At 46.7% G+C, this 19,479-nt stretch overlaps 1 protein-coding gene and 1 long non-coding RNA gene across 7 annotated transcripts in view, besides 2 other annotated features; one reads left to right on the forward strand and one right to left on the reverse strand.

The window, feature by feature from the left end:
• The window catches only part of ATP2C2 (ATPase secretory pathway Ca2+ transporting 2), a 95,650-nt gene extending 88,338 nt beyond the window's left edge, over positions 1 to 7,312 (forward strand). For 3 of the 6 annotated variants that reach the window (NM_001286527.3, XM_011523486.3, XM_011523487.3), the window contains 7 exons: positions 2,245 to 2,313; positions 2,395 to 2,511; positions 2,631 to 2,717; positions 3,779 to 3,926; positions 4,839 to 4,937; positions 5,113 to 5,254; positions 6,739 to 7,312. In NM_001286527.3, the coding sequence (NP_001273456.2) occupies positions 2,245 to 2,313; positions 2,395 to 2,511; positions 2,631 to 2,717; positions 3,779 to 3,926; positions 4,839 to 4,937; positions 5,113 to 5,254; positions 6,739 to 6,857 (781 nt within the window). In that variant the 3' untranslated portion in view covers positions 6,858 to 7,312. The remainder of the gene's footprint in view (positions 1 to 2,244; positions 2,314 to 2,394; positions 2,512 to 2,630; positions 2,718 to 3,778; positions 3,927 to 4,838; positions 4,938 to 5,112; positions 5,255 to 6,738) is intronic. The other 3 variants (NM_014861.4, XM_047434994.1, NM_001291454.2) reach the window with 1 other exon arrangement.
• Positions 2,226 to 2,725: an enhancer, noted in NCBI's record as "H3K4me1 hESC enhancer chr16:84492707-84493206 (GRCh37/hg19 assembly coordinates)". NCBI's record gives its function as "activates a minimal SCP1, AML or CMV promoter by ChIP-STARR-seq in primed H9 embryonic stem cells {active_cell/tissue: H9 hESC(primed)}" and the evidence as "EXISTENCE:reporter gene assay evidence [ECO:0000049][PMID:30033119]".
• Positions 2,384 to 10,486, reverse strand: ATP2C2-AS1 (ATP2C2 antisense RNA 1). Its single transcript, NR_146503.1, has 3 exons — positions 10,429 to 10,486; positions 4,820 to 6,124; positions 2,384 to 4,018 (listed from the first exon to the last, which is right to left on the reverse strand). It is a non-coding gene; the product is annotated as an ATP2C2 antisense RNA 1 (long non-coding RNA).
• Positions 4,081 to 5,280: an enhancer, noted in NCBI's record as "CDK7 strongly-dependent group 2 enhancer chr16:84494562-84495761 (GRCh37/hg19 assembly coordinates)". NCBI's record gives its function as "activates an origin of replication core promoter dependent on BRD2, BRD4, P300/CBP, MED14 and CDK7 cofactors, with strong dependence on CDK7, by STARR-seq in HCT116 cells {active_cell/tissue: HCT116}" and the evidence as "EXISTENCE:reporter gene assay evidence [ECO:0000049][PMID:35650434]".
• Positions 10,487 to 19,479: the final 8,993 nt, after the last annotated feature.

Consider the following 19,479-nt stretch of genomic DNA (forward strand, 5'->3'; position numbering starts at 1 on the left):
ATGGGTAGGAAGAATCAATATCGTGAAAATGGCCATACTGCCCAAGGTAATTTACAGATTCAATGCCATCCCCATCAAGCTACCAATGACTTTCTTCACAGAATTGGAAAAAACTACTTTAAAGTTCATATGGAAGCAAAAAAGAGCCCGCATCGCCAAGTCAATCCTAAGCCAAAAGAACAAAGCTGGAGGCATCACACTACCTGACTTCAAACTATACTACAAGGCTACAGTAACCAAAACAGCATGGTACTGGTACCAAAACAGAGATATAGATCAATGGAACAGAACAGAGCCCTCAGAAATAATGCCGCATATCTACAACTATCTGATCTTTGACAAACCTGAGAAAAACAAGCAATGGGGAAAGGATTCCCTATTTAATAAATGGTGCTGGGAAAACTGGCTAGCCATATGTAGAAAGCTGAAACTGGATCCCTTCCTTACACCTTATACAAAAATCAATTCAAGATGGATTAAAGATTTAAACGTTAGACCTAAAACCATAAAAACCCTAGAAGAAAACCTAGGCATTACCATTCAGGACATAGGCATGGGCAAGGACTTCATGTCCAAAACACCAAAAGCAATGGCAACAAAAGCCAAAATTGACAAATGGGATCTAATTAAACTAAAGAGCTTCTGCACAGCAAAAGAAACTACCATCAGAGTGAACAGGCAACCTACAACATGGGAGAAAATTTTCACAACCTACTCATCTGACAAAGGGCTAATATCCAGAATCTACAATGAACTCAAACAAATTTACAAGAAAAAAACAAACAACCCCATCAAAAAGTGGGCGAAGGACATGAACAGACACTTCTCAAAAGAAGACATTTATGCAGCCAAAAAACACATGAAAAAATGCTCATCATCACTGGCCATCAGAGAAATGCAAATCAAAACCACTATGAGATATCATCTCACACCAGTTAGAATGGCAATCATTAAAAAGTCAGGAAACAACAGGTGCTGGAGAGGATGTGGAGAAATAGGAACACTTTTACACTGTTGGTGGGACTGTAAACTAGTTCAACCATTGTGGAAGTCAGTGTGGCGATTCCTCAGGGATCTAGAACTAGAAATACCATTTGACCCAGCCATCCCATTACTGGGTATATACCCAAAGGACTATAAATCATGCTGCTATAAAGACACATGCACACGTATGTTTATTGCGGCACTATTCACAATAGCAAAGACTTGGAACCAACCCAAATGTCCAACAATGATAGACTGGATTAAGAAAATGTGGCACATATACACCATGGAATACTATGCAGCCATAAAAAATGATGAGTTCATGTCCTTTGTAGGGACATGGATGAAATTGGAAACCATCATTCTCAGTAAACTATTGCAAGAACAAAAAACCAAACACCACATATTCTCACTCATAGGTGGGAATTGAACAATGAGATCACATGGACACAGGAAGGGGAATATCACACTCTGGGGACTGTGGTGGGGTCGGGGGAGGGGGGGAGGGATAGCATCGGGAGATATACCTAATGCTAGATGACACGTTAGTGGGTGCAGCGCACCAGCATGGCACATGTATACATATGTAACTAACCTGCACAATGTGCACATGTACCCTAAAACTTAGAGTATAATAAAAAAAAAAAAATTTAAATAAAAAAAAAGTCATAATATCAGCTCTATAGTTCTTTTCAAAATATTTTAGTAAAATCTGGCGGTGGGGGCACCCACGGTGCGTAATTGTTTTTCTACATTAGTGACCCCAGGTCAAGGTTTAAAAGGGCTTCCGCGAAGAGCCTTCTAAAGACAGAAGCAGGCGATGTCCTTCAGCCTCCCCATCCCTCCCTCCTTACCGTCCTCCGGACCTCATTTTTAGGCCGAACTGGTTTTGCTGCGTCTCTCTCTCCTCTTTGGTAAATCGCGGAGATGCACGGCGCACTTCGGGAGTCTGGGCAGGGATGGGGCCCCCTGGGCTCGGCCGGAGAGTAATTCATGGTCTGATTGGAGGCATCAGGTGTACCCTTGGCACAGAAGGGCGAACATGGCTCAAGGATCAGTTCCCAGTGGCCGAGGGGCACCTGTTAGAACACCACCGTCTCCTACAAATGTGTCCCCAAGAATGCCAGCAAGGGGAACCAGCAGGGGCCCAAGTATAACATCAATCTGGGCGAGTCACCACTGCCCCTTGCAGCAACCGATGCACTGGTCCAGCCCTCACGCAGGCCCGCTCCGTGAGTAAATGGCTCTCTTCTCTTGCAGGAATGCAGTGGAGGAAGGCAAGGGTATTTTTTACAACATCAAAAACTTTGTCCGATTCCAGCTGAGCACGTAAGTAGAGGCCAGCATTCCGAGTGTCATTAAGCACCACGCCTGGCGGGCGGCCGCTGACTGGCTGCGTGTGCCCCGCAGGAGCATCTCCGCCCTGAGTCTCATCACTCTGTCCACCGTGTTCAACCTGCCCAGCCCCCTCAACGCCATGCAGATCCTATGGATCAACATCATCATGGATGGGCCACCGGCGCAGAGGTGAGGCAGGGCCGGCTGGGAGCCCTGTGTCTCTTTACCCACCTGCGGGGCTTCCTCCAGGGGCTGCTGGCTGTGCCCCAAGGCTATAGGGATGAACAAATACAGCCACTTTCCATCAGGAGTTCCCAGAAAACTGAAGTGTGTTGCACTGCAGTGAGACTGGGAGTAGAAGGCAGAGGAGAAAGTACCTGGGCCGGCAGAGCTGGGTGAGGATGGAACTTTCTGCTCCCTCTGCCTGGATGCTCTCTCTGGGCAACCTGCATGGCTCATTCTCATGCTTCATTCCAGTCACCAGTCACTGCCTTCAGGAAGTCTTCCCTGATTGCACTCCCACTCAATCCCCTCACCCTGCTGTATTTTTCCCTAGAGAGGAAGATACACACAGACACACTTTTCCTTATGGATCTGATTGTGATCTGTCTCCCCTTTAGAACATCAGTTTCATGGAGGCGGAGTTTGTGTTTCATCCCTGATGTCTAGAGATAAAGGGCTTGCCACTCAGTAGGTGCTCAGGAGTCCACCCGCTCCGCCACTTAATATCCCCTTCAACAAGCTGGCCAAGTGGTGTGGGGGAAGGAATGCGCTTTGGAGTCAGGGGACCCATCTGGCCACGTGTGCGTAACCGTATGAGCACAGAGCCAGTGCTTCCGCTGGAGCTCAGTGCTGCTGTTATCACCAGTGATAGCTGCCAAGGGAAAGAGAGTCCTCATTTGTGTCCCCAAAGCCAAGTGTGAGGGTTACCTCTCCTGCCAGCCCTCCCTGGGAGCAGAAGTGGGACCAGGAAGCTGGCCTCAGCTGTGTCTGAGCGGCAGGGCCTCACCCGGCCACTCCCACCATACCGCCTGCTGCGGGTCTAGCCTCAACCCTGCTGTGTGGAGTTGGCTGGAGGCTGGTCTCTCTCAGCTGATGAGGGGCTCTGCGGAGGGCGGAGCCTGGAGCCTGTTTCTCCAGGCGCAACGTTGGGGGGGGTCCCCTCGGGGTGATGGAGATCATCTGGGTGTATGGAACTGTGTGTGGTTGGCCTTACGGGGTGGTCTTCCTTCACTGTCTGCGGGACAGATGGAGGGGCACAGCTGCCCATGGACCCAGGCTCTGGGGCTTCTGGAAGGTGCCGAGGAGGGCAGGTGCGATGCCTGGGGGCGTTCAGCAAATGCCTGGCCCTGCCCCCTGTGCCAACTTGGCCTGGGAGGCTCAGGCACAGCTGTTTCAAGGGTCCTTTATTTCATTCCTGGTTCATTTCAAAGTGTCTGTGTCTTGTTCGGAGCAGCTTGGGGGTAGAGCCCGTTGACAAAGACGCCTTCAGGCAGCCACCACGGAGTGTGCGGGACACCATCCTCAGCAGAGCCCTCATCCTGAAGATCCTCATGTCCGCGGCCATCATCATCAGCGGGACCCTCTTTATCTTCTGGAAGGAGGTGAGCGAGGGTCACCCCGGCCTGTTCTCCAAGCCCTGGTGCGGTGCAGACGCTGGGGACTGCAGTCCCTGCCCTCCTGCCACAGCTCACATCTGGGAGAGGCAAACATGTACACACACCGGACAATGTGATGCCATCAGAGGCGTGGGGTGCATGAGGCAAAGGGACTGGGTGACCCTTGAAAGAAGGGAGGTCGCCAGGTGTGTGCCTGGGAACTACAGAGGCCAGCGGGGTGGAGATGACTTTGCCGAGACGGGAGTTGAAATGTACATGAGGACAGGCTGCCCCCTGTTCCCTTGTCACCAGGAAACAATTTGAAATCTGCTAAATATCCTCCTGTGTTACACTCTAGAGGTGATTGTTTGCTTTGGATCTAGGCCTGGGTCACCTTTTCATGGCCTGCAGGTTCAGGGAGCTCTATGCCAGGACGGGCCACGATCTAGGTGGGAAATGAGGCAGGTGACCCATGTGACCACACCACAGATTGCCCATGTGCAGGAAGCGGGAGGGGACCCTGGCCGGGTACCCTGCCTCCATTTTCCCTCCAGCTCTCCCTCTACTACTGACGGCCATCCTTCAGCCTTCCTTGTAGGAAATGACCTTCACTCTGGGTTTAACTGGAGTGGCATCACCTCCCAGGGAGACAGTTACTTCCTGGAGGAAGTGGTGTTTCCTCCACCCATAGGTGCCCTGCCCCCATCCTCATGGTGGCAGCAAATCAGCATGTGCTGGGGAGACCCTGGGGTAGCAGCCACTGACCTCACACCTGGAGGAAGCTGTGTGACCGATTCATGAGCTTGTAAGTGGCTCCCAGCCATGCCCCAGGAGCAGTGAGGCAGGCCTGTGCCCTTTGGTTCAGGATGGAGGTTGTCTCTTCCCGCCTAACCTCTCACCTTTGTGCTCACCTTCCAGATGCCTGAAGACAGAGCAAGCACTCCCCGCACCACGACGATGACGTTCACTTGTTTTGTGTTTTTCGATCTCTTCAACGCCTTGACCTGCCGCTCTCAGGTGAGACCCGGGCTGACCCTCCTCGCTGCAGAGCTGCTGTGTGTTCTCGACAGCAGCGCCCCGACCCTGCCCGCAGCATTGAGCGGCTCTGGCTCAGCGTGGGCAGTCAGAGCTCCCCTGCCTGTACCTGGGGTGTGGACAGCACACAATCCCCCGTGTGACCTTCTCCCTGCAGACCAAGCTGATATTTGAGATCGGCTTTCTCAGGAACCACATGTTCCTCTACTCCGTCCTGGGGTCCATCCTGGGGCAGCTGGCGGTCATTTACATCCCCCCGCTGCAGAGGGTCTTCCAGACGGAGAACCTGGGAGCGCTTGGTGAGTGGTGGGGACGGGAACGACAGGTGACCTCGACCAGGGCCATGGGGGGCGGCAGCTGCCAGGTGGGGAGCTGCAGCCCAGGAGGGGTCAGTGCGGGAAAGCAGAGCTCACCAGGGGCCGGCTCTGTCTTCAGGGCCCTTCTGTCCTCACAGGAAGGGACTCTAACGTGGGTGATGTGACGGATGCACAGAAACCCCTAGGAAGAGGCCTGTCACTCAAGAGTAGTAGGGTCTGGGGCCCAAGGGGCACCGGCATCCCAGGCGTCGGGCTGGAGGCTCAGAGCACGTGCAGGGAGGAAGGAGGGAGCAAGGCCTGTACTCAGCCTGGGAGGTACCCCAGCTGGGGAGCCTGGACTTGACCCTGGGGCCAGTAATGTGACTTAGAGATCTGGTCACCTGAAGGCAGGGAGCTGGGCTGTCTTCCAGTTTTGGCTGAAAGGGACATGATTCAGTCACCGTGGTTTTCCAAGGGCACACGCCCTGGTGTGGAGCCCAGGGGACTCCCCGACATTGTCAGCCAAGCGAGTGTGGCACCTTTCTCTGAAGCTGCGGTTATGGCAGGCATGGGGCAAGGGGAGGGAGCCAGGGACAAGTCATCGACCCCACCCTTTTCCCCAGTGTGCTGAGAGCCAACCCCAACCCGGAATAGAGGACGAGGGAGGCCAGTGAGGCAGCCCCCATGGGCCCACCGCCTCCCCGCCGGCAGGGCCCAGAGTGGGTCATGGCTCAGATCTGGAGGGTCATGGGATTATGCATCAGACCTGAGGCTGCAGTGACAACGGTCCTATGACCTCCAGGCAAGACTGGGATGGTCAACTCTGCCTTGTCCTCCAAAAAGCAGTGTCAGTGTGGGTCACCAGTGAATGCCCTGTAGGAACAGACAAGAGGACCCCCCAAAACACTCTGCTCACTGGCTGTTTCCACCCGCCGGGAAGGAAGTCGGCTTCCCACGCCTGAAGGGGTTGTGCTTGGGCAGCCCGTACATCAGGAATCATCAACAGGGAGCCAGGGATGGTTCCTCAAAACAGCATGTGACAGGAGCAGAGGGAGACGCTGGGAATTCATCCCAGGGAACATGTCGCTGGGAATTCATCCCAGGGAACATGTCGGGGTGCACTGGACAGGGAGCCCAGACTGGTCACTCAGGACATTTGCAAGCAGCAGGGCACTGGGACAGCTGCTGTAGGGAAAGGAAACTCATTCCCCTTCCAGCCCGAGTCCATAACATGCTCCCAGCTGCCTGCCAGACCCACCCTGTGCTCTGGAGCTGCCTGGTGTTTGCCTGGAACCACAGGCAGGCCCTTCTGGAACTGCAGCATTTTGGATTCTGGGTTAGGAAGATCTCCCTGCCTTCAGGGGAATGAAAAGGGCTGGTCCTCCGCACCTCTCACTTTATCAGGAGGACTGGCAGGGAAGGCGCTTCCTGCCGGCGCAACAGAGCTGCAGCCCGTCCTGAATCTTTTCTGTTTTCTCCCTTGGCAGATTTGCTGTTTTTAACTGGATTGGCCTCATCCGTCTTCATTTTGTCAGAGCTCCTCAAACTATGTGAAAAATACTGTTGCAGCCCCAAGAGAGTCCAGATGCACCCTGAAGATGTGTAGTGGACCGCACTCCGCGGCACCTTCCCTAATCATCTCGATCTGGTTGTGACTGTGGCCCCTGCCGTGTCTCCTCGTCAGGGGAGACTTTTAGGAGGCCGCAGCCTTCCATCACCGGATCAGTTTTTCCTCTTAGGAAAGCTGCAGGAACCTCGTGGGCTCCAGGGACCCAGGCCCACATCCATCCAGCGTTCCCGCTGGCTGTGGGACAGACAGGGAGGGGCCTGTACAGAAACACCACACTGTTTATTAAATCACAATGATTTTTATTAACCATGTCTAACTACGTATCTGTGCCACAGCTTGCAGTGAGGCAGGCCACTCGTGGCAGATACAAGGGGCTCCTGAGAGGCAGTGGGTAGGATGGTCACACTCTGCCCATTGCCCTCCTGGAGGCCCCATTTCCTCATCATAAAATGAGGGACTTTTAAATAAAGTGCTATGCCGGGGGATAATTATTTTGATGTGTTTACCTAGGGTTTTTCATACAAGGGGCCAGGTTGGAAACCCACAGCCATGTGTTAATGGCCACGTGGGGTGAGCAGCAATCCATCATGAATGGCCTACAGGAAGGCCTCGGCTTTTGGACATAAAGAGTAGGGCTGGGCATGGTGGCTCACGCCTGTAATCCCAGCACTTTGCAAGGCCAAGGCAGGCAGATCACTTGAGGCCAGCCTGGCCAACACAGCAAAACCCTGTCTGTCTCTACTAAAAGTTTAAAAAAAAAAAAAAAAACAGTTGCCAGGCGTGATGATGCACACCTGTTAATCCCAGCTACTCGGGAGGCTGAGGCAGGAGAATGGCTTGAGTCCAGGAGGTGGAGATTGTACCACTGCACTGCAGCATGGGCAACAAAGCAAGAGTCTCTCTCAGAAAGTGGCCCTTCTCTCCGGAACCAGGAACTGTAGTATCTCCTGCTGCCTGCAGACAAGCTTGATTTCCCACTGCCCCAAAGACTTCCAAAAACCGATCTGCTCTTCCACGTGACAGATGGCAGAGGAGAGAGGTCTCCATGCTGTTCTTCTGCCTGAAGCCACGCCAGAACCACCAAAGGGAACCAGAAGGGGAACTCCGTCCCCATCTCTCAGGAAATAAGGCCAGAGCTAGAACCCCCCATTTACTAGTCAGGCCTCACTAGAGAAACAGAACCAACAGGATGGAGGGAGATGCAGAGATTTGTTTTAAGGAACTGGCTCATAGGATGTTGGGGGCTGGCAAGTCTAACATCTTGAGGGCAGGCCAGCATCCTGGAGACCCAGGGAAGAGCTGGGGATGCAGGCTGGAGGCAGAATTTCCTCCTCCTCAAGGGAGTTCAGCCTTTTCCTCTTATAGTCCTCAACTGATCGGATGAGGCCCACTCACGTTATGAAGGATAAACTGTTTGTTTTACTTCAAGTCTACGGGCTTACATGTTAGTTACACAGCGCCATCTAGACCAGTGTTTGTTTGACGAAAATCAACTTGGCCTGGCCAAGTTGTCAGATAAAAGTACCCGTTGCACCCAGCCACGGTAGCTATGAAAAGGGCTACCAGGGGTGGTAACAGCTGGGTCAGACGAAGATAAGGAAGGTCAGAGTGGACCCCTGCCAGGGTTCCAGGCAGAGTCCAAAGTCCTCCATAGTAGGATTCACAGCCTGGGAAGAAGCCCCTCTCTGGCTACAACCTGTGACACCAGGGCCACAGGAGGAGATGCAGCGATGGGCCATTCCTAGTGAGACACAGACACAGGGCTGGCTGGAGAAGAAACCTTTTGAGCTGTGGGGCTGTCTTCCTAGAAGCTGCCAACCCCTGGAACCACTAAGAGGTCAAGGCTGAAGTGTGCCACTTCCACAGTCTGCTAAGGAGTGCCTCCCCCTGAGTCAGGGACAATTCTTGCTCTACTTTTCAGGATCCTTGGGCACACTGCTGGCCCGAGACATTTACTTCCCATTTAAAATTAAGTAATCAAAATACCAGGGTCGATTACTCTGAACTCTTGCTTATGTAAACTTTAGGGATAAAACTGTAGTAAGACACAAAATGCTAACAATAAAATATAAATTAGACTACATTAAAACTAAGACCTTCTTTTCATTAAGGACACAGTAGACTTGAACACCACCATTAAGCAACTTAGCTTGATTTACACTTGTAGAACACCCCATTCACGAGTAGCATAGAAACAGTCACCAAAATAAAGAGCAGAAATCAAACGAAAAAGCAAAAATAGAGGAAAATCAATCAAAACCTAGTTTTTCGAAGAGATCAATAAAACTATCAGTCTTGCAATAAGCTTATCAAAGAAAAAAGGGAAGAGAAATGACCAATGTCAGGAATGAAAAAGTATATCACCACAAACCCTTCAAGATATTCCAACAATAATAATAAATAATACTATGTACATCTTTATGTACCTAAATTCAATCAATTGGATGAAATAAACCAATTGCTTGAAAACCAAAAACTACCAAAACTCACTGAAGATTAAATAGATAAGCTGAAGTTGAAACCCTTCCAAAAAAGGCAGTTTCTGAAGCCAGATGATTTCACTGGTGAATTTTACTAAACTTGTAAAGAAATGGCAATTCGATACACTGAATTCCAAAAATAAAAGGGGACCGAGCACTTCTCATTTTATAAGGTCAACAATCACTCTGATACCAAAACTAGAGAAAAATACTAGAGACCAACATCCCTTATGAATATATGCACGAAAATCCTCAACAAAATATGAGGAAATCAGATCTAGCCAGGTACGAAGAATATAAGACACCAGGACGAAGTGGGGTTAATTGAGGAATGGAATTCAAGCATTCCAAAGTTCAACATTCAAAACCAATATAACTGAAAAGTTCAACATTCAAAAACCAATATAACTCACTATATTAATAGTCTGAAGAAGGAAAAACACATGGTTATATCAATTAATGCAGAAAAGGCATTTGATAAAATTCAATCTCCATTTGTAATAAAAACTCTCAAACTAGGAATTGAAGGAAACTTCTTCAACCTGATAAAGAACATCTACAAAAAACCTATAGCTAACATCATACTTAATGATGAAAAACTGAATTCTTTCCCCACAGGATAAGGTCCAAGGGTGACCAGCCTCACCACTCCTATTCAGCACAGTATTAGAAGTCCTAGCCAGTGTAATATGGCAAGAAAAGTTAAAAGGCATTAGCAAAGAGCCTGGAAAGGAGAAAATCACAGATAACGTAATTGTCCACACAGAAAATCCCAACAAATCTTTTTAAAAAAGAAAAACCCTCGTAGAATCAACGAGTTTAGTAAAGCCACAAGATACAAGGTTAACACACAAAAAGCAGTCGTATTTCTATATATTAGCAATGAACAACTGGAAACTGAAATTTAAAATTGAATACTATTTGTCTGTCTCAAAAAAAAGTATCAATTCTCCCGAGATTGTTGTATTAGGTTTAACACAATTACCATCAAAATCCCAGGGTTTTTTTGTTTTTGTTTTTTTTTAAGACACAGATAAACTTGTTCTAACAAGCTTGGTATGATATTGTTATCAGCAGACCTATTTCAATTTCACTGGTTTTTACATAGTATCTGATGTTAGGCAAACCTGAGTTTAAGGGCACAGTGCTCCAGGTGGCTGGCCAAGTCTGCCCAGGCCTTCTGATACTGACTGCAGGTCCAAGAGTTTCCCACAACCACCTTCAGGTTGGATGATTCGTTGATGAGGCACACAGAGCTCACTGACACCTGTCATGCTCACAGCCATGTCTATTACCAGGAAAAGATACAGATTAGAACAGCCCCAGGGCTGCAACTGCAGAGACTGGTCACCCTCTCCCTCTGAGCTCAACAGTTTCTGAGTCCTGAGTCTTTCTAGCCAATCACTGGGTCTGAGAGTGGTTTCCTGCCCCCCACAACACAAGTTCTATGAAATTGTATGACACACATCAATTCAGGTAACCACTGCTACAATGAGGAGGCAAAACTTCCATCGCCCCTGAAAAACTCCTCCTTACTTTTTATAGTAACACCCTCCTAATCCCAGCAACCTCTAATCCCTTCTTCATCACCATAATGTTGTTCCTTCAATACTGTTACATAAATGGAATCATGGTATAGAACCTTTTAAGACTGGCTTTTGTCACTAAGCATAATACCTGTAAGGTCCCTTCAAGTTGTTTTATGTGTGTTCTTCTTCATGGCTGACTAGTATTCCACTGCATGGATGTACCACAATTTCTTTATCCACTCACTCATGGAGTGACAGAAACTCCTGTACAATTTTTGGAAGTCTATATGAATCTAAAATTATTTCAAAGTGTGTAAGAAGATAAGATATACTCATAGGGCAAAAATACACCAGGTAAAGACAAACAACACACAAGACCAAGGTGACACAGTCTAATCAGACAAGATTAAAAGAAAGGCCAAAAGCATTAAAGGAGACCAAGAAGGAAATTTAACAAGATATAATCACCACTGAAAAATCCATAGGCCAGACTATGTACCAACACAACATTCAAATTTAAAGAGGAAACAGTATGGGAAATTCAGGCAAAGGATACAGAAAATTCATTATATTAACTTACCACATGAAAGGACACAAAACCTCAGTGATTCCAAAGAGTAGATCTAATATAGATGACTTCTTGGTCGGGCATGGTGGCTCAGACCTGTAATCCCAGAACTTTGGGAGGCCGAGGCGGTTGGATCACTTGAGGTAAGGAGTTTGAGACCAGCCTGGGCAACATAGCGAAACCCCATCTCTACTAAAAATACAAAAATTAGCTGGGCATGGTGGTGGGCGCCTGTAATCCCAGGCTACTCGGGAGGCTGAGGCAGGAGAATCGCTTGAACCTGGGAGGCAGAGGTAGCAGTGAGCTGAGATCACACCATGGCACTCCAGCCTGGGCAATGAAGTGAGGCTCTGTCTTAAAAAAATAATAATACAGATGACATCTCTAATCACTATGCAATCTAATTTAAAGACGAGTGACAGGACTAGGGGAAATTCTCTAGCACAGCAAAATTTAAAAACTCTTGGGTACAAGAGAAAATCAAAATGAAGGCCACAGAAAATCTAGAAGCTTATGATCAACACACACCTATCTATACAATACTGCAAAATAACTCAGGGCCCAAGAAAAAAGTAATAGCTTTATGTATTCATCTACTTCCATTATTTTTTATTTAGTAAAATAACTCAAAAAACTGAAAAAAAAAAACTGAAGAAAAGCAGGAATAATATAAAAGCAAAATTAGTAACTGAATCCAATCTAGGAAAATGAAAACACAAGAAAAGGAAAAAAAACATAACTACAAAAGAGTTTCAATACTTTGGGGTCAATATTACATAAAGTAATTTGAAGACTTCCAGCAGAGATTTAAAACAATCCAATGGTAAAAGAAATGGATAAGGTTGTCAAGAGTTAATCCCATCCTCACCTACATCATCAGAAGCAGGAATGCAGACCTGCAATATGCATTTTAAGAAGCTCTCTAGGCAAATCTGATGCATGCTCAAGCGGGGAGAACTACTGGATAAAAGAGGTCAGTAAGAGGCCTGGAACGGTGGTTCATGCCTGGAATCCCAGCACTTTGGGAGGCTGTGGTGGGTGGATTGCTTGAGCTCAGGGGTTTGAGACCAACCTGGGCAACATGGCGAAACCACCTCTACAAAAAACACGAAATTTAGCTGGGAGTGGTGGTGTGCATCTGTAGTCCCAGCTACTCGGGAGGCTGAGGTGGGAGGATTGCTTGACTCTGGAGGCAGAGGCTGAAATGAGTTGAGGTCATGTCACTGCATTCCAGCCTGGATAATAGAGCAAGACCCTGTCTCAAAAAAAAAAAACAAACAAAAAAAAAAACCGGCACGGTGTCTCACGCCTGTAATCCTGGCACTTTGGGAGGTTGAGGTGGGTAGATCACAAGGTCAGGAGATTGAGACCATCCTGGCCAACATGGTGAAACCTCATCTCTACTAAAATACAAAACATCAGCCAGGCATGGTGGTTGCACACCTGTAGTCCCAGCCACTCGGAAGGCTGAGGCAGGAGAACTGCTTGAACCCAGGACGCGGAGATTGCAGTGAGCCAAGATCACGCTACTGCACTCCAGCCTGGATGACAGAGCAAGATTCCATCTCAAAAAGAAAAAAAAAAAAAAAAGAATTCAGTAAGGTAACTGGGAATAAAAACTACAAAAATCAAGAGCTTCCTATGTTAAAATAACCATCACTTAGGAAAAAATGTCCACTGACAGTCCCAGAAATGACAATAAAAATTTACCTAAGAAGCTAGATGTCCCTGTTCTTGGATAGAAGCATCAACGTTAGCCAAATGTCAGCATTAAATATACATTAACATAGGCAGAACCATTTGGAAAGTACTATCCTATTTTTTAGAAGTGGTCACAGTGCAAAGGTCGGAGAAAATAAGCAGCCAAGCATTTGCCGAAAAATTCCAAAAAACAGTAGTAAGAGAAAAACGGCTCTTACATATTTTTATCACCAAATTCCAGCAATTAAAACATGAGAGAGACCTCAATTCATACAGAAACTCAGCTGATGACAAAGTATCATTAGAAGTCAATGGGAAAAGACAAACCACTTAATATACAAGGTAATGGGACTTTATTTTGGGCTAAGATAGGACTATATGTTTAAATGCCTTTTGAAGGCCAGGCACGGTGGCTCATGCCTGTAATCCCAGCACTTTGGGAGGCTAAAATGGGAGGATCACCTGAGGTCAGGAGTTCGAGACCAGCCTGGCCAACATGGTGAAACCCCATCTCTACTAAAAATACAAAAATTAGCCAGGTGTGATGGCAAGCACCTGTAATCCCAGCTACTCGGGAGGCTGAGGCAGGCTAATGTCTTGAACCTAGGAGGCGGAGGTTGCAGTCAGCTGAGATCACACCACTGCACTCCACCTGGGTGACAGAGTGAGACTCCATCTCAAAAAGTAAAAAAAAAATATATATATATATATATATATGCATACACACACACACATATATAATTTATATATATACACACACATAAAAATATATATATATACACACACACACACATATATATATATAAAAGCCTTTTGAATAGATAAAAGATTTAAGAGGTAAAAACAGAAACCACAGTAGAAGAAAATGATTTTTAATACTCAGAGTAGAGACAGACTGCCTAAACAAACGGCAAATCCAAAGACCCTTAAGCAGAAATGCTGGGAAATATGACAGAAACTGTAAAATTTATGGGCAGAAAAACGCCACAAACGAAGTCAAATAAACCGTAGAAAACATTGACCATACATGGGAAATGCTACTTCATTCATAAAAAGCACTGTTGGCCGGGTGTGGTGGCTTGCACCTGTAATCCCAGCACTTTCGGAGGCTGAGGCAGGAGGATCCCTTGAGTTCAGGAGTTCAAGACCAGCTTGGGCAACATATTGAGACCTCATTTCTATTTTATTTTTTAAAAGCACTGTTACAAATCGATAAGAAAAAGACCGACACCCTAGAAAACCAAGAAAAAGATATGATACAGAAAGCTTTTGAAAAATGAGGCTGTTCACTGTCACTTGGTAGAAAAATTTAAACAGTACAGTTTTGAGCAAGACACCATATGGGAGCCCAGCCCACAAGAGACTGCACACCAGCCTGGGGCTCAGCAGCACCAGGGCAGAGGCACAGCAAAGTGCGGGCTGCCACTGCCAAGGTGCAAGTGGGGTGCGTGTTCCCACTCACTGGCATGGGCTGCTGCCACTGAAAGCAGCCTCACCCTCCCCAGTGGCAAGGTCACAGCACAACTGCTGTTACCTCCCACCCAAGCATTCCACCAGAGGCCTGGGGACTGCCCCCTCCCCAGCTACCACAGAAAATGCCTGCGTATGCCATGGAGGGACCTCAGACAAGCCCGCCCAGCCTGGCTTTGCCGCACATGCTGATATGGCTTGGCTGTGACCCCACCCAAATCTCATCTTGTACTTCCCATAATCTCCACGTGTCATGGGAGGGAGCCGGGTGGGGGAGGTAATTGAATCATGGGGGTAGTTACCTCCATGCTGTTTTCATGATAGTGAGTTCTGACACGATCTGATGGTTTTATAAGGGGCTTTGCTCCTGCTTTGCTCTGCACTTCTCCTTCCTACCATCATGTGAAGAAGGACATGTTTGCTTCCCCTTCCGCCATGATTGTAAGTTTCCTGAGGCCTCCCTAGCCATGCTGAACTGTGAGCCAATTAAACGTCTTTCCTTTAGAAATTATCCAGGCTCAGATATGTCTTTATTAGCAGCATATGAGAACGGACTAATACACACACCCTATGCTGGAACACACAGTCTAGATGACTGGGGACGGCCCAGCCGAGGCCACCACTATTGGTACCTGAGCACTCCTCTCAGACTGCTGAGGGTGGGTTCACCCACCCTGCCACTACCTGCACTAGTTGGCATCTACATGCACGTGCCACCTGTGGGCCTGGAGACTGGCCCACCCAGCTCATCACAGCCACCACCACTACCAGGTACACTACTAGGGACCCAGAGGGTTACCCTGCCATTGCCACTGCCACTACCATCTCCTATGCCACACTGGCTGCCCAGGGGCCCAAGAGCCCAGCCACCTGGCCCACTGCTGCCATTTAGCATCCAAGCAAGCTATCCTCAACAAAACACTAGCAAACTGAATCCAACAGCACATCAAAAAAAAAAAAGAAAAAAAGAAAAAAAGAAAACAGGCCGGGTGTGGTAGCTCACGCCTGTAATCCCAGCACTTTGGGAGGTCAAGGCGGGTGGATCACTTGAAGCCTGGAGTTCGAGACCAGCCTGGCCAACATGGTGAAACCCTGTCTCTAGTAAAAATACAAATATTAGCCAGGTGTGGGGGTGGGTGCCTGTAATCCCCACTACTTGGGAGGCTGAGGCAGGAGAATTGCTTGAACATAGCAGGCAGAGGTTGCAGTGAGTCGACATTCTGCCACTGCACTCCAGCCTGAGCGACAAAGCAATATTCCATCTCAAAAAGCAAAACAAAACAAAAATAATACACCACAATAAAGTGAGATTTATCCCACTTATGCAAGGATGGTTCAACATACAGAAATCAATAAATGTGATACATCACATTAATAGAATGAAGGACAAAAACCATATGATCAGATATAAGCAATTAGTAAACTGATGCAGAAAAAGCATTTGATAAAACACGACATTCCTTCCTGAAAAAAAACTGTCAACAAACCAGACAGAAGGGACATACCTCAACATAATCAAGACCATATATGACAAACCCACAGCTGACATCATCCTGAATGGGGAAAAGCTGAAAGCCTTTCCTCTAAGAACTGGAACAAGACAAGGATGCCCACTTTTACCACTCCTATGCAACATAATATTGGAAGTCCTGGCCAGAGCAATCAGGCAAGAGAAAGAAATAAAAAGCATCCCAACTGGCAAAGAGGAACTCAAATTGTCCCTTTTTGCTGATGATATGATCCTGTATCTAGAAAGACTCCATCAAAAAACTATTAGATCTCATAAATTCAGTAAAGTTACAGGATACAAAATCAACATACAGAAATCAGTAGTGTTTCTACATACAGATAATGGAATATCTGAGAAATAATTCAAGACAATAACCCCATTGACAATTACTACAAAAAAAAAAAAAAAAAACCTAGGAATAAATTTAACCAAGAAGTAAAAGATCTATACAAGGAAAACTACAAAGCACTAATGAAAGACATTGAAGAGGACACAAACAAATGGAAAACATCCCATGCTCATGGATCAGAACTAATACCATTAAAATGACCGTACTGCCCAAAGCCATCTAGAGATTCAATGCCATCCCTATCAAAATATGTCATTTTTCACAAAATTAAAAACAAATCCTAAAGTTCATATGGAACCAAAAGAGAGCCCAAGTAGCCTAAGCAATCCTGAGCAAAAAGAACAAGGTTGCAGGCAGCATACCACCTCACTTCAAAATCTATTACAGGGCTATAGTAACCAAAATAGCATGGTATTGCTTTAAAAAAAATTTAAAAAGAGACACATGGACCAATGGAACAGAATAGAGAAACCAGAAATAAGTCTACATATCTATAGCCAACTTATGTTCAACAAAGTTGCCAAAAACATACACTGGGGTAAGGACAGTGTCTTCAATAAATGGTGCTGGGATAATTGGATATCCATATGCAGAAGAATGAAACCCTACCTCTCACCATCTACAAAAACCAGATGAAGACGAATTAAAGATTTAAATGTAAGACCCAAAACTATAAAACTACTAGAAGAAAACAGGGAAAACAATTCACGAACCCAACAATTTAAAAATAAACAATCCCATTAAAAAGTAGACAAAGGACATGAATAGACATTTCTCAAAAGAAGACATATAATGGCCAACAGCTATAAGAAAAAAAAAAAAAGAGCTCAACATCACTAACTATCATCCAATCCAGCAATCCCACTACTGAGTATTTATTCAAAGGAAAAGAATCAGTGTGTCCAAGGGATATCTGCATGCCGACATTTACTGCAGCACTATTCGCAATAGCAAAGATGTAGACACAACCTAAACATCCACCAATGGATGAACGGATAAAGAAAACGCGGTATATACCCTCTCATGCCAGTCAGCATGGCAATTATTAAAATGTCAAGAAACAATAGATGCTGATGAGATCGTAGAAAAACAGGAACGCGGCTGGGCGCAGTGGCTCACGCCTGTAATCCCAGCATTTTGGGAGGCTGAGGTGGACGGATCACAAGGTCAGGAGATCGAGACCATCCTGGCTAACACGGTGAAACTCTGTCCCTACTAAAAATACAAAAAAATTAGCCGGGCGTGGTGGCGGGCGCCTGTAGTCCCAGCTACTCGGGAGGCTGAGGCAGGAGAATGGCGTGAACCGGGGAGGTGGAGCTTGCAGTGAGCGGAGGTCACGCCACTGCACTCCAGCCTGGGCAACAGAGTGAGACTCCGTCTCAAGAAAAAAAAAAAAAAAAAAGAAAAAACAGGAACGCTCTTCCACTGTTGGTGGTAATGTAAATTAGTTCAACCATTGTGGAAGACAGTGTGGCGATTCCTCAAAGATCTAGAATCAGAAATACCACTGGACGCAGCAATCCCATTACTAGGTACATACCCAAAGGAATATAAATCATATGTTACAAAGATACATGCACACATATGTTCACGGCAGCGCTATTCACAATAACAAAGACATGGTATCAACCCAAATGCCCATTAGTGATAGACTGGATTTTAAAAATGTGGCACATATATACCATGGAATACTAAGTAGCCATCAAAAAGAATGAGATCATGTCCTTTGCAGGAACATGGATGGAGCTGGGAGCCATTACCCTCAGCAAACTGGCACAGGAAGAGAAAACCAAACACTGCATGTTCTCACTTATAAGTGGAAGCTGAACAGTAAGAACACATGGATGCAGGGAGGGGAAAAACACAGACTGGGGCCTGTTGGTGGTAGGGCTGCGGGAGGGAGAGGATTAGGAAAAATAGCTAACGCATGCTGGGCTTAATACGTAGGTGATGGGTTGATAGGTTCAGCAAACCACCATGGCACACATTTACCTATGTAACAAATCTGCACATCCTGCACATGTACCCTGGAACTTAATTTTTTAAAAAAGGAAGAGTATATATACACGATGGAATATTATTTGGCCATAAAAAGTGAAATCATGTCATTTGCAACAACATGGATGGTACTGGAGGTCATTATGTTCAGTGAAAAAGGCAGACACAGAAAGACAAATTCTGCATGTTCTCACTGATGTATGTCAGCTAAAAAAAAAAAAAAGTGGATCTCATGGAGGTAGAGAAAAGAACGATAGATACTAGAGGATGGGAAGGATATATGAGTGGGAGGGAGGGAGCAAGAGATGTCGGCTAGTGGGTGCAGGGAGCCGAAGGCCCGTGGGACGTGACCAACTCAGCATTCCACTGGAGGCTGTGTGATCAAACAGCAAACTGTTTATCATGAATGCAGGATGTGGGCAAACTCATGACTGCTCCTGCCAACAGGTTTGCTGGAGGCCATCACTCCCTGTCACCAAGGTTATCTACTGCGACATCTAGAGCCTGTTGTTTGAGGAATGCAGTCTTGCAAGCCTACTCCGGACTGAGCAGCTGACCCCTTCTTCCACCCCCCTTCTCACTATGTCTTTTGCATAACAAATACGGAGGGCTGTGTAAAGTTCAGGGCCCTTGTCCACTAGAGGCAAGGTGCCCCCTGACCCCTTCTTCCAAACATACTCTTTTGTCTCTTGTCTTTTATTCCCATGTTCGCCCCCTTTGTTCGGTCCCCCTAGGTCCATGAGGATTACTTAGTTGCACCCCAAACAGCAACAGAACCGGGTGCCCCACAAGGGGGTACAAACATACAGTTAGAAGAGATAAGTTCTCATGTTCTATAGCAGCACTGGGTGACCAGAGTCGGCAACAATGCACTGTGTATTTCACAGTAGACATAAGGGAAGACTTGCAATGCTTGGAATGTGGAAAGGATACTCAAGTTGACGGACACCCCTAAATACCCTCACTTGATCATTACACAGTCTACACATGTAGCAAATACATGTACCCCATAAGTATGTAAATATTATATCAACAAAATATAGTTTTTGTCTA

This window comes from Homo sapiens, chromosome 16, assembly GCF_000001405.40.
Source record: "Homo sapiens chromosome 16, GRCh38.p14 Primary Assembly".
Lineage (NCBI taxonomy): Eukaryota > Metazoa > Chordata > Mammalia > Primates > Hominidae > Homo > Homo sapiens.